General features: G+C 38.4%; 1 protein-coding gene and 1 pseudogene across 3 annotated transcripts in view; both read right to left on the bottom strand.

The window, feature by feature from the left end:
• Nucleotides 1–14665, bottom strand: part of NEK2 (NIMA related kinase 2) — a 17366-nt gene continuing 2701 nt past the window's right edge. Inside the window, exons 4-8 of one of the 3 annotated variants that reach the window (NM_001204182.2) lie at nt 12947–13029; nt 12026–12152; nt 10858–11077; nt 8851–8976; nt 1–457 (exon numbers count right to left, since the gene is read on the bottom strand). In NM_001204182.2, coding sequence (NP_001191111.1) covers nt 402–457; nt 8851–8976; nt 10858–11077; nt 12026–12152; nt 12947–13029 — 612 coding nt within the window. In that variant the 3' untranslated portion in view covers nt 1–401. Of the gene's footprint in view, nt 458–4516; nt 5398–8161; nt 8977–10857; nt 11078–12025; nt 12153–12946; nt 13030–14665 lie in introns of those variants that run through there. The other 2 variants (NM_002497.4, NM_001204183.2) reach the window with 2 other exon arrangements.
• On the bottom strand, nt 1878–3044 carry FDPSP8 (farnesyl diphosphate synthase pseudogene 8; annotated as a pseudogene).

Here is a 14665-nt window from a genome sequence, read left to right on the forward strand (position 1 = left end):
TTTAAAAATTCTTTAAAAGATATTTATTTACTTTTTTTTTTACATTTACATGTATTTACATTTTTAAAGGGAATTTATTTGAGAAACATATGAAAACACAGAACACTTCATAGGTCACTTTATGCAATAAAATAGGCAATAATAACATACATTTTTGTGCAAGCATAAACATTCATATATACTAATGAAAGTTGCATAATTATATCAGTAATGAACAGACAAGCCATATTCATAAAGAAATAGGTCATAAAGGGGCTGGGCGCAATGGCTCATACCTGTAATCCCAGCCAAGGTGGGAGGATTGCTTGAGCCCATGAGTTCAAGACCATCCTGGGCAAAACAGTGAGACTCCATCACAGGAGGCTGAAGTGGGAGGATTACTTGAGCCTACGAGGCCAAGGCTACATTGAGCTGTGATCACACCACTGCATTCCAGCCTGGGCAACAAAGTGAGACTCTATCTCAAAAAAAAAAAAAAAAAAAAAAAAAAAAAGGAAAGAAAAAAAAAGAAATAGGTCAAGAAGGGAAATGTAAATGCATATCCCCATGGTTGGTAAATGTGTGCACCCAGTTTTATGCCTTTGGTCATCTGAAATACCATAACAACCTAAGATTCTTTTGATGAGATCTATCAAAAACAGGATGGGTCACTACTGCATATGCAGCCACCTAAAGAGCCAAGATGTTCAAACATTTTACCTTTCACAAATGCAGATGTACAAAAAGGACACCTCTTCACTTACTGAGGATGCTTCAATGTTTTTATGTACAGGAACAATGCTTACACACAGTCAATGCTGTGACAATGTACTTTCATGGAGTCAAATTTGCAAAAAAACAGAACTTTCTAAGTCTCTACACAAATTATGCCTCCAGTATCAGAAATGATTTGAAGATGAATTATATAGCATAGCAAATTGTAAAAAAGAATGCCAACAATTTTAAATAGTGAAAAAAAAACATAAAACAGAAAAAAAAAAGATAATTTGACATACAAAAAAGTGTATTACAGGACTGGATTATGGGCAATTGCATGGAGATAGTCCATAAGAGCTGGCCAACCTCCACAATCATTAACTATATTTTAAAGTCTTGCATCATGAGGAATAGCTGCTTTTTCTCTTTTAGGGCATGGCTCTACTTGGAGAATATGTTCACATTCATTTTCTACATGGTGCTGTTCTTCCTGGCATTCTTCTATGATTCCATATACACTGACAGGAGCATTCCCTACTAAATTTCCCTATTTTCTGTGTCATGCTTCTGTGTTGTTTTGGGTACTCAGAAATCTGTTCTGCATGCACTCATTAGGCCACAGATTTGACAGAAACAGTACTGGTGATCAAACAGCAACACCATTGTGTATTTTCTTATCCTACCATGTACATATTTATTTTCAAAACAGTCAGTAACTTTGCTGACGTCTTCAGGCAAATGTGGCTTTAATTCATTAAAAGTTTCTAGAATGTCATCAGCTGGAAGGAATTCCAAGGCAGGCGAATGATACATTTTTTCCCCATCTCTTAATACATACTGTACACAAGGAAACACTCTTCCCCCACCCCCCACCCACCTGCCCTTTAAGAGACAGGGTCTCTCTCTGTCTCCCAGGCTGGAGTACAGTGGCTTCATCACAGCTCACTGCAGCCTCCACCTCCCGGGCTCAGACAATCCTCCTGCCTCAGCCTCCCAAGTAGCTGGGACCACAGGCACACGCCACACCTGGCTAACTTTTAAAAAAATTATTTCTAGAGACAGTGTCTCACTACATTGCCCAGGCTGTTATGAAATTTCTAAGTTCAAGAGATCCTCCCTCCTTGGCCACCACGCCCAGCTGGAAAGTGCATTTTTAAACTGAAGTTTTTTGTTTTGTTTTCAAGGTTACACAGTAATTTATTGAGAGCCTCCTCTCCCTGCCCTTGCAGTCTCTAGGTCACTTTTTCCGCTTGTAGATTTTGCACGCCAGCCCCAGAAAGATGGCTGGGAGCAGGGGCATTGCATACTGTTCAATGAGACCCATAATGTGGCTGTGGCTGTAACTGTCATCCTCATACTGCAAGAACACGGCCAGCAGATCTAGCTCCTCATATAGTGCCTTCTCCTGGACCACCTTCTTGGCCTCCTTCTGCCCCTAATTCTCCTTCAGGATCTGGTACTGTTTTGGAGTGGCCCATTGCAGACACTGAACCACCAGCCAGCTGCATTTGTTGTCCTAGATGGCAGTGCCAACTTTGTCAGTCACAGTGGAGTCCCCAAAGAGGTCAAAGTGATCATCCTGAATCTTAAAGAACTCTCCCATCTCCAGCAGGATCTTCTTGGCATTGGTGTGTGCCTTCTCACCATCAATGCCTGCCATATGCATGGCTGCAGCTATAGGAAGGTAGAAAGAGTAGAAAACTGTCTTGTACTTGACAATTTGTAATTCTTTTCCTTGAATCTGCGAAGATCCACATTGCCCTGGGGGTGCTGTGATGGGGTCCAGGGTCTGCCCAATCTCAGTCTGATAGGAACTCTGCAGGAAGAGCTCAATCAGGTTCAGGTAATAGGGCTGCTCCCAACAACAGAGCTTCAGCAGGCAGTAGATACATGCTTCCAGAAGCATAGCATCATTGACAGCATCCAAACCCACGCCCAGCTTCTGATACCAGCAGATCTGTCCCCAGTGGGTGAGGGATGAATCCGTGATGTCATCTACCACGAGGAAGAAAGCTTGCAGCAGTTCCACACACCAACCCACCATCAGGGCCCGCTGGAAACTATCAGCATCCTGTTTCCTTGGCTCCACCAGCTCCCGGAATGCTAAGCACCGTCAAACCCCGGTGATAACTTGCCTCCGATGGCATTGTACTCCAGGACCTCCTTGAGCTGGGCGATAGCATCTCCTGTCTCTGGGTGCCCCATCTCATCCTCAGTCAGCACCCTAACAATCCGGGAGAAGTGCTGAATGAAATCCTGTTTTTCTTGGGCATAAGCATCTGATTTTTGATCTCCATTCATTCTGAGGGAGGAGCAAAGGGCTCTATTCCTGGATGCGGGTTCCTGCTTCTAAACTGAAGTTTTTGTCATTGCTGTATCTCCTGGCCTATCTACTCATCTAATTTTCTATCAAATGCATTGGGCTGAATGGAAAAAAAACAAACTTTATTGGTAACACTTTGAAATTCACTTTTAGAAGCTTTGATCACACCTAATTCCAAATCTGTTGTTATGGTTTGGGGATTCAATCGAAAGCTATTTTCTTCTGCAAAGTGCAGCAAATCTTCAAATAATTGTTTAAATGACTAGATAAGTTCTAGAATCTTCAGAACCAACAGGGGCATGAATCATGTATAGTTGATAAAAACCAGTAGGGATAGTTTTGAAAGTGCCGTCCACTAGCCAAAATGAAAACATGCGATAGTTTTTCTGTTAGATTTAGTGGTAAATATAAGCAGTCTATCTTCTTCGACAGTCAAATCCCTAACCAAGAACAGTTTGGTTAATGAGTTTTGTAACACTGGAGGAACCTCAGTATCAGCAAGTGTCTTTGGTTCACAAGGTCGTTCAGCTTGTCGAATTTTATTCTCTGACAAAGGGCATTTTTTTAAGGCAAGCGTGGCACTATTCATGAAGGAGCAGAATTTGTACATAACTGAATAATTTGGCAGGAGAGATTTCTTGTACTTTTCACCTGAAAAGTCGCTTTTATGATCTTCAAAACACTAAACATTGAGGAAAGATATTCCCCACCTAGTCTACTGAGACTCACATATTAACCTCCTCTGGAAACACCCTCACAGACACATCTAAAATAATGCTTTACCAGATTTCTAGGGATTCCTTAATCCAGTCAAGTTGACACATAAATCAACAAGTTCACCCCTTATCAACTCGATATCCATCCACATCTCTTAAACCATACTTAATTTCCAAATGAAGACAATAACAAGGTAATAGTTCTGCCTAACATGATGCAATTATCCTGTATACAGCTGAAACGGCACTAATCCCTAACCTCAAATTCGGCTTTCAGGATTTTAACATCTGGGATTTTAATCTTTCAGGATTGTGATTTTGGAAGTTCACACATTAGGGATTCTGATCTTTTGGGATTTAAGACATTAGGGATTTTGGTCTTTCAGGATTTTCGCATTTGAGATTGTATCATTCAGGATTATGATCCAAACCCATGGACATTTTGTTGTCAGCAGCTGTCCTGTGCATTGTAAAATGTTTACAGTGTCCCTGGCCTGTACCCACTAGCAGCCAGTAGCACCCTACCCCAAATCATGACAATCAAAAATGCCCCCAGACATTGCCAAACGTCTCTTGAGGAGCAAAATCACCCTGTTAAGGACCACTGGCTTACATACATGGATTAATGAGATGGGAGGTAAAGCGCCATACAGTTTAGGACTGGAATGCCACTCCCTTGAGCATCAGATCCATGTTTCCTTCTGTACCCTACAATGAAGACCTACAAATCATAAACACAACTCCCATCAACTAAGAGACCAACAAATGCAAGACACATAACTACAGGGAAACTGAAGAATTCTTTTATTTAGTGGGAAAGAAGTAGGTAAATGACAGACAGCTCATATTCTGTTAAACAGAAAAAAAAAAAGAATACAAACATCACAGTGATGAATTTTCACAAAGCTAACAGATTTGAACTACAGAGCAATGGAATATTTATAAGCAAGATGTCATGGTATTAATGACCAAATTGCATCTAACTGGGTTTTCTAAGCTCAAAAACATTTAAAATCTCAGACTTAAAATTTAAATCTAGACATGACAATTGTAAGCATACCACTCAGTCATTTAAAACTATTCAGTGAGTGCTACTCTTCCTGCATAAATATTTTTTTCCTAACATTATTTTTTCTCCCAAGATTTAGAATGTCACATCTCATGTTCCTACTAGTAATCACACACAGGATTAAAAGCCCAACCAAGAAAGTATTCTTTTTATAATATGTTCTTAAAAGAAGAAAGAAAAATTAAATGTGAACATTTTGTACAATAGTTGCTGAAGAACAGTAAAACCAATTCCGAAATATCATGTGTACTATACAGAAAGGCATGGCTCATGGAACCAAGTATTCAACACTACAGCATTTGAATATCAGTCTTTAAAGGTTGGTAATATTACATCCTGTACACAGCTCTGTGTCTCTCTACCTGGCTAGCGCATGCCCAGGATCTGTCTGCTTTTCAGTTGGTAATTTTTCTCAATATCTGACAGGGCTTGAGCCCGCAGCTGGGCAGCGTGAAGCCTTTTCTTCAGGTCCTTGCACTTGGACTTAGATGTGAGCTGACTCTCAGAATTCTCACTCCTCATGATGTTCTCTTTACTTTCCCCACTGAAATGAACTTTCTTCTTAATTACTGAGGATGGAAGATTAAGAAGTTCTTTAGAAGGAAAAAGAAAAAGGGCTCTGAGTTACTTGAACAGAGTTCAACTCCTTCATACTTATACTTATCAAAAAGTATTTGCTCTTATGGCTCACATTTGAAATCTAGGTGCCTGTTTTATTTTCTCTGGGATAGGAGGTTAGGGGTGTAGGACTTGCAGAAATCAGCCTTTTAATCCACAGCATTGAAAAAATAATATTGGAATGTGCCAAAATTCAAGGAACATAAGTTTTATTCTCTTAACAACCAACAATCAATTTTACTCTTAAACACACTGAGTATTATGGACAACATAAAACTTTTGGAAATCAATGTTATTTATCTCTGTCCTTGAAAATAAGTGCCATTCTATGCAGAACACCTTACCTACAGAAAAGTGTAGAAGCAGAGGTTTTTTTCTGTCTTTGTTTTTTTTTTTTTTTTTAAATAGAGAACACCTACAGTTTTGGTTAAATGTTCAAGAACACTTAGTTCAAAGCATCTTAATGGACGAGAAATCTGTTTCCAAAAAATCTAAACAAATTCAGTGTGGAAAAGGTAAATCAAGTAAGAGTAGTAAAAACTGTAAACTATTCTTTACATGGAAAAAATAAATAATAATCATATTTACTTAAAGTGGCAACACTATTAACTGCTGACAGAATTACTGGGGGCTGGAGGCTTACAGATTCTAGAATCCTTTTATTTTTTGTGTTAAAGGAAATATGTTCGAATATTTACTGAGCTCATAGGATGGGCCACTGTGAACCAAACAAAGGCCCTATTCTAGTAGGAGGAGATAAACCAAACACAAACAAACAAGTACTGGTGGGGAATATTTGATGGTAATACGTGCTATTAGGAAAAATAGCTCTGGAAACAGGGACATGCTGGGTGCTGGGTGCTGGGTGTAATGATACAAAGCCTCATACAGCATTTCTGAAGTAAGAAGCCACAGGGCTGTCTGGATGAAGAGTGCTCCAGGCAGAAGAAATAGGAAAGGCTGGCACACAGATGCACTGCCTTCCAAGGGTCCTGTGACTTCCCGCTTCATACGTCGCTTCTGCTTCAAAGCAAACTGGATTGCTTTTAGACCTTATCTCCACTGTTTCAACTCTATCCACCTTCTTATTACCACAAATACCTTTACATTTGTAAGTCAACATTGTCTTACTAATGGGATAGTTTTATTTTGTTTTTGTTTTTGTCTGAGATGGGGTCTTGCCATGTTTTCCAGGCTGGAGTGCAGTGGCTAGTCACAGGTGCAGCTGTAGTGCACTACAGCCTTGGACGCCTCGGCTTAAGTGATCTTCCTGCCTGAGCCCCAGAGTAGCTGGGACTATAGGTGCGTCACCACACTTGGCTCTTAATGGGACAGTTTTATAAGAAAGAAAGTGTTTTAAAAACATTTTTAAAATTCTTCCATTAAATAGAAGAATGAATATTTCATCAAATACGAAAAGAACAGCTTTTAAAAAAGACACTGCTGCTTGCTGTGATGATTTCAATATACTTGTGATGGCTTCCTCACGTGTGGATTTTATAGCCCAAGGATGGGGAGAGAATATTTCCAACTGTCCTGAGTTCAGAATGGTACCCGCTCCCCACTGCTATGATGCTTATCTTATAGCTCTGATGTGTTCACTACTTTCAGCACTCAATACCCTAAAATGTCTGCTTGCCCCAGTGGATACTTGATTCCTATGGCTCATTTTAAATATTTGCCATGATTCACATATAAGTAGATTCCCATACTTATCTGTGTATCCTATAAAGTAAAACACATCATCCTTACTTAGCTATTTTCATCTTTTGCTCAAAGACTATCAGGGCAAATGTAAATAAACTCTTTAACCGAACAGCCATCCCCAACAGGGTCTTAAGTAATTCTCTGCAATGGGTTTGATGCATGAAATTCATCCAGGTAAAATTTTCTCCTCATTTTATCACCCTAATCATGATTTAAGTCTATTTTGTCTTTATGGATGACAGTGTGGAATCTATGAAAAGCCAGAATAAATATTTTTATAATATTGAAATGGTAGACTGCAATATTGGGAAAAAAGAAGGTATTTTAACAGAGATGAAGCCAAAGTTTCATATAATCCTTGTTTCATTTACTTCTATCAGTAGTTTCATTTCTTTCCATCACTTATTCACTACAAAGTTATTGTGATCATCAATCTAACTTAAGTAGGGTTTTTTGTCTGTTCCATTTACAAAATGCTGCCAATGCTCACTAAATTGATCACACTACATCTCAATTTATTAAAGATGGGAATAATAGCTTTCATATATGCTGTCCTACATGGAATAAGGGAGTTATAAAAACTCTAAATTTTATTGAAAATTCAGATGCTCGATTTTTGAAACCAACAACTTTTAACAGTTAGTTTGTGTCATAAATCAAGCAAAAAGATGTTTCACAGTTTGCATTTTACATAATCTTAAAGAGTCGATTAAATTAGATTGAGGGTTTCTATAAAATGGAGAATGTTAGACAATGGTTCACTGGTATATACGATAACCACATCTCAGTGCGGCAGAGTGAAGGGACAATGCCACACAAAGGCAGGGCCCTGAGAAAGCTGAATATCTATATACCAGACTTTAAATAAAGAAGGAAATGCAGAGAACATATGTAGATATTAAACAATCAAATTTCAACAAATATGTCTTTCAACTTGAAAGGGTGTTAGCAAAGATCCAAACGTGACAGCCTATTCTGCAGGTGGCTTATCATGCCTTTTAAGCCATGCTTTCTATGAAAAATGAGGCATGGCAATATTAAAATGTTTATTTTTACTTGAAATGCAGTTTATCTCTCTGAAATCTGAAACATACAATAGTTTTGTAAATGCCCTAATTTTTAAAAATAAGTATCGGCTGGGCACGGTGTCTCATGCCTGTAATCCCAGCACATTGGGAGGCCGAGGCAGGCGGATCACGAGGTCAGGAAATCGAGACCATCCTGGCTAACACGGTGAAACCCCGTCTCTACTAAAAATACAAAAATTAGCCGGGCTTGGTGGCGGGTGTCTGTAGTCCCAGCTACTTGGGAGGCTGAGGCAGAAGAATGGCGTGAACCCGGGAGGCAGAGCTTGCAGTGAGCCGAGATTGTGCCACTGCACTCCAGCCTGGGCTACAGAGTGAGACTCCATCTCAAAAAAAATAAAAAAATAAATAATGATAATAAAAATAAGTATCAATTACTAAACATGTAGTTTGATAAGGTAAAGAAAATCAAACATGAAATTCTATGACTCATTGCCTCAGGTCTATGAACCCAGGAAATAAATCATTGCTATAACAGAATTTTGTTTCCATTGAAATGCATATATTCAATGAAATCCATCTTAAAATTTGAGATTTGTAAATGAAAAGGGCTACCTAAGCCACTTTGGGAGCAACACTGGTGCACATTTCTTCATTTGTAGCACCAGCTTCTGTTGACCAAGTTGATTCTCATACCTGGATTACTTGCCAGAGACAGGAACTTCCGTTCCTTTAGCAAGCTGTAGTTCTTCAACAGATTTTCTGCTCTAGCCAGTTTGTCCTCTGCTAGTCTCTCACGAACACAAAGCTCCTGTTCTTTCTCTTTAAAAAGAGAATGGACAAAGAAAAAAAAATTAACAACTGACCTTGACTAAAAAACAATTTACATTTGGCAATCTTATCACTACTAGCATGCCTGATACTGATAAGCAATGTTTGGGGAAAGGATTCTCACTATGCCTCAGTCAACCTGATTATGTTAGTTTTTAATTGAGTGTTTTAGTAGGCTGTATGTTATCTTAGATTTTCTTGAAAGGACTTGTTTAAACAAATACAAAGTTAGCTTCAACCTTTGGTCATCTTTTGTGGGAGTAACTCATTTGGGAAAACAAAAAACTAAAGCTATCTCTGCTCTTCACTGAAGATAAGCAACAGCTAATTTTCAGGGCATGATCTGGCCTCACAGTACAAAAATCTCCTTCTTCTGGTTGAATGACCACACCCAAACAAAAGAAAAAAAACACAATTCAGTTAGGTGGTAGTTCATAGGATTAGTATTAATAACAAATGTTACTATTTATTCATGGCCCCAAATTCAGAAAGTATTCAGATTTCAGTTGCTATATGAAATTATGGCTGGTCACAGTGGCTCACGCCTGTAATCCCAACACTTTGGGAGGCCGAGGCAGGTGGATCACCTGATGTCAGGAGTTCAAGACCAGCCAGGTCAACATGGCAAAACCCCATCTCTACTAAAAAATCAAAAATTAGCCAGGCATGGTGGCAGGCGCCTGTAATCCCAGCTACTCAGGAGGCTGAGGCAGGAGAATTGCTTGAACCCGGGAGGTAGAGGTTGCAATGAACCAAGATGGTGCCACTGCACTTCAGCCTGGGCAACAAGAGTGAAATTCCATCTCAAAAAAAAAAAAGAAAAGAAATTATGAAACACTGGGGAAAGTTATAAGAAAAAGCTTTCTTATTTTTTACAGAGGTTTCCAAGTAAGTATAGGTTGTACCTATACAGTAAGCATATCTCACAGGACTATACAATATTTCATTATTTAAAGCCTGGATTGGGCATAAAGCTGCAGAAGTAAAATCAGGTGAGTCATGAGGGTGACAGGTCACAAATACGACCCCATCTCTCGTCTCCTGATGTTAAAATGAAGAACCTCACTCTGTAGCTACCTTGCATAACCCTAAATGCTTGCGAGTAGCTCTCATCTTGGTGGAGTAGACACACTTTCAATATCAAAACTAAATTAGCATCTAATCAGTTAATACTCATAAGTCAATGTTAATACCCACCAGAGTATTATTTATAGACTTAAAATATCTTGTATCTAGATTCTCTATTGAACTGCCTGAACAGACCAGGTGTGGTAGGTCACACCTATAATCCCAGCACTTTGGGAGGTAAGATGGGAGGATCACTTGAGCTCAGGAGTTCAAGACCAGCCTGGGTAATATAGTGAGACCCCATCTCATTTTCAAAAATAAAAAGTTAAAAAAAAAGAAAAGAATTGCCTGAACATATCTCATCTACATACTGTAGGGTTTTAGACCTGGAATTCTGTTGGAGTGGCCATTTCAAAAGACAAAAGTCATGGTTTTTTATTATGGAAAGCAGCAATTTTAAGACCTTCCTTTACAGTGGGAAAACATTAGGGTATTCACAGTAGAGACGAAAAAGAAAAAAGTAACTCTAGAGTAAAATACAAGGCTATCGTATTAGGGCCATCACAGTTAAGGCCCAATAATATATAACTAGCAACTGATCTCAGAGAAAGATGTCCAACATGAAGGTGCCAGCAAGCCTGATTATTAAAAAGTCTAAAATACATATTTTGGTTTCTCAAGTATTTTTCAAAAGCTTCTAATAAGATCTGTATGTATAAAATATTCTGCTCAAAGAGATATTCAGACACATCAAAATAACCCACTTGGTAGTTCTCCTTTGCTTTGACCCCCATTCAGACTTACGCTCCAATCTTTCTTCTCTTGCTTTGAGAGCTCGCTCTCGCTCCTGTAACTGAATTTCCTTCAGTTTCAGCTCACTCAATACAGGGCTGGAATCCTGCGATTTTTCTGGCTCTCCTAATTGTCGCCCTCTTCTCTCAAGATTTCTTCTTTGCTCGTCTGCAACCAAATCTGCTATTAAAGGGTTCTCAAGAATTTCTTCAACAGAAGGTCGATGGTAATCCTGGGGAAAAAATACTCAGTATTATAGTCAGATTGCATAACAGAATAGTCCTCCTAAGACAGCAGTTAAAATAAAAGGACAAAAATGTGTTTCCAAGACAAAAGAAAGGACTCCTTTATGGCTAGGTCTTAAAAACTTGGAAAAATAAGTTCACTGGTGGTTTTAACTCATGAGGTTCTGGGTCCACAAGGTAATGCAGATGTTAACTTACCTTTTTTCCCTTTTCCCCTTTTCACCTTTCTAAGAAGGTTCAATCCCTGAAGATTGGCACATCTTGTGCTGGGGCTTGGTAGCATTGCTAGGGTCTGTTTTAGGGGAAGTACTGCCCTTGCATTTCTAAACTACATTTAGCAAGATACTCTCTCACTGACTCTCAATCCTGTCACTTCATCTGTATCCTTCTCTGTGATCCTACGGCATTTTCCTTCTTCTCTTATGTCAGCCTGGTCCCCAGAACATCTCCTTCCCCATTCTATAGCCAGAGTTTTTCCACATAATCTCTTTATTGATTTTCCCTCTGTTTTTAGCTGTCCTCCGTCCGCCCTCCATCACCCCTCCCCTTCTTCTGGTCTTTAATCTCTCAATTAGAGCTAGAGGCAGAGTAATAAACTCTTATTTCTGGCCCCTTCCCTCACTACCTGCCACTGTGAGGTAGGCAAGGACAAGGGGAACGAGAATTTGAATTCTTTTTGCAATCTTTCCTTGCTACCGACCATCTGTTAGCATGACAGAGTGGGAGGAGAAATAAAGAAAGCGCAGAAGGTGGGCCAGCAAGGATGTGCAATTTGCCAAATTTACATATGTTTTCACTTGTGTTAACACAGTAAATTTAGCTAAGAAAGTATATTTAACGTTTCTTCAGTCTCCATTGATCTACAAGAGAGAATGTATGCTCTGACACTTAACTGACAGCTAGAAACAGACAATATATCATCTTATCATCTTTACCTTTAAGTTTAACATCCTCGTAATAATTTCATTCAATTCATCAGAGTAACGGTATGGAATTCGCCTGAATTTGCCTTCTCTGATTTTCCCAGCGAGTTCTTTCTGGCTAAAAGCTGTAAATGGAGGCCTAGGGTTAAAAAAGAAGAAGAAGACGACGAAGACATTTTCAAATTGTAAAAATGAAAATATACAATAGGAACTAAATCAAAAGCACAGCTTAAGCTCCAGTTTGTATTTAAGTTTCTACTTCTGGGATTTTCTTCTTATAAGTAAGTTTCCCAACCTTGGCACTATTGACATTTGAGGTCATATAATTCTTTGTTGTGGGGGGCTGTCCTGTGCATTATAGGTATTTTGTAGCCTCCCTGCCCTCTACCCTCTAGATGCCAGAAGCACTCCCCAGCTGTGATAACTAAAAATTTATCCAAACATCATCAAATGCCCCATAAGAGGCAAATTTGCTTCCCTTATCCCTAGTTGAGAATCACTGCTCTACAGAATAGTTTCAAAGGGAAAGAAAATGAAAAGAAGAACAAAGGAAAAGAATTGGAGCTCTTCCCTGCTCTACAGATCCCCAGACCTCTACCCGAGTCTTGTTTCATTTCTTCCACATCCTTACAGTAGCTTTACCTTACCTGCCTGACCTATGTGCTCTCCCTTGAGCTAAGTGTCAATCTAATAAGAAAGCACCTAACCAGCCAAGACCCTTGAACAGTCAAGACCCAGCCTCATGGCTTATAGTTTTAATTTGTGAATAGTTTCTTTTAGCCTGTTCATCTATCTACCTTAATTTTACCCAGGGTACAATTCTTTCAGACTTGAATATACTTTCGTTAGCACAGAGGCTCAAAAAACTGAACCCAGTGAAATGTGACAAACAGTACAAACCTTAGACTAGGAATCTGTCTTCATCATACTTACATTAATGCACATAACTCATACAGCAAGCAGCCCAATGACCAGATATCTGATTTCTCATTGTAGGACATGCGATTCATTTGTTCCTATACAGGGAAAAAGGGTAAGAAAGTGGAAGGTGTTAAGAGTTTATTTTGTTTTGAAACTTAAAAAACACATTAAATTACTCCTGAGATAAAAACAGAACCTCAAAGTTTTTAGCTTATACTTTATCTTGAAATTTATAATGGAAAAAAGGCAATGATCTTGTTCCAATACACTCCATCATACATAATTCATTCACTCATTTTCCATTCACAAATGAAAGTGCTTAGTATAGACTAGGCACTGACAATACAGAGGTGAATATGAGAGACTTCTACTCTCAAGGCAAATTAAGAAACACCATTTTAAAAGAACTAGAGGAAATTTAAGAATAGTCAAAATATGTATCTAGTCCACATTTAAATGGATATAGACATAAATAGCTAATTGAATTATCCATTTATATTTTGTCTTAGTCCACTCCATAAATCACAGTAGTAACTAATATTATCCTTACCTATTTTATTGTTTGCCTTTCTTCCACATCTACAGTAACAACAGCCTACCAGAGCTCCTATTCTCAACAGAGGGAATAGAAGCAATCTCTAGTGGCTGGTTAGTGTTTTAAAGTCCAACTGGTGAGTCTGATGCCACTTTTTGACAATCAGTGCCTTAGGAAAGCTGAACCACTCTAATTACAAGGGCAGGAGGGAAAAGGAACAAAAGAATAGGTTTCAAATTTCCCAAGAACCACTTCTGGATAATTGTCCTTTATGTTAAAAACATTCTATTTGGAATTTGATACAGTGAGAAAATGGTACTGTTCTGGCTATTTTTAGTCAAAACCAAAATCATTAATTTACAAAGTTTTATACTATAGTAAGATCTGTTAACATAATTTATAAATATTTGGAAAATCCTAGAAAGGTGAACTACTAAAATACTAACAAATATTTCTTCATCTTTATCTGTTCAGATGTTATATACTAACACATTAGTGCTATCACAATTGACTTAAACTTTTTAAAAGCCATCAGACAATATCTAATAACAGCCATAAACATTTACCCCAGCAATTTCATTTTATGAGCTACACTCCAAGGAAATAACCAAAAAGGAAGAAAGAATAATTCATACAAAGATATGCAGAGCAGTACTTCTAAGAATGGTGAAACATGTTGGAAACAAAATATCCAGCAATAGAGGTAATTGGTGAGTGGACTCAGCAAGATATTTCAGGGATAGGCAACAAAAAAATAAAATGTACAAAAAGTTAACATTGTAAAAACATGCTATCTGAAGTGAGCAAACTTCCTGAGCTCTGATTCTGCATACACAAGAATCATTTACAGAGCCTCTTAAATGCAAAGTCTAAAATAAAAAGTAAAATATTAAAAAAAAAAAAAAACAGAGTTCAAGAACCCACCCAGAGATCGAAATTCACTCGATGGATTTGGGTTTGGGTTTGGGACCCAGAACTCTGCATTTTAAACAAACACTCCAAGTGAGTCTGATGCAGATAACTAGGACCTACACATTGGGAAACAACTCTTGAGGGCAAGGACAAAATCCATTTCATTTTTGTAATCCTTGAGTTTAATGCATCATAGTCATTCCATAAAAGCTTGAACTGAATATGCTTTAATTTGCATGAATGCTCAAAAAATTGAACCCAGTGAGAGATGACAAACGGCGCAA

The sequence above is a fragment of the Homo sapiens genome, chromosome 1 (genome assembly GCF_000001405.40).
Source record: "Homo sapiens chromosome 1, GRCh38.p14 Primary Assembly".
In the NCBI taxonomy this organism is placed as follows: domain Eukaryota; kingdom Metazoa; phylum Chordata; class Mammalia; order Primates; family Hominidae; genus Homo; species Homo sapiens.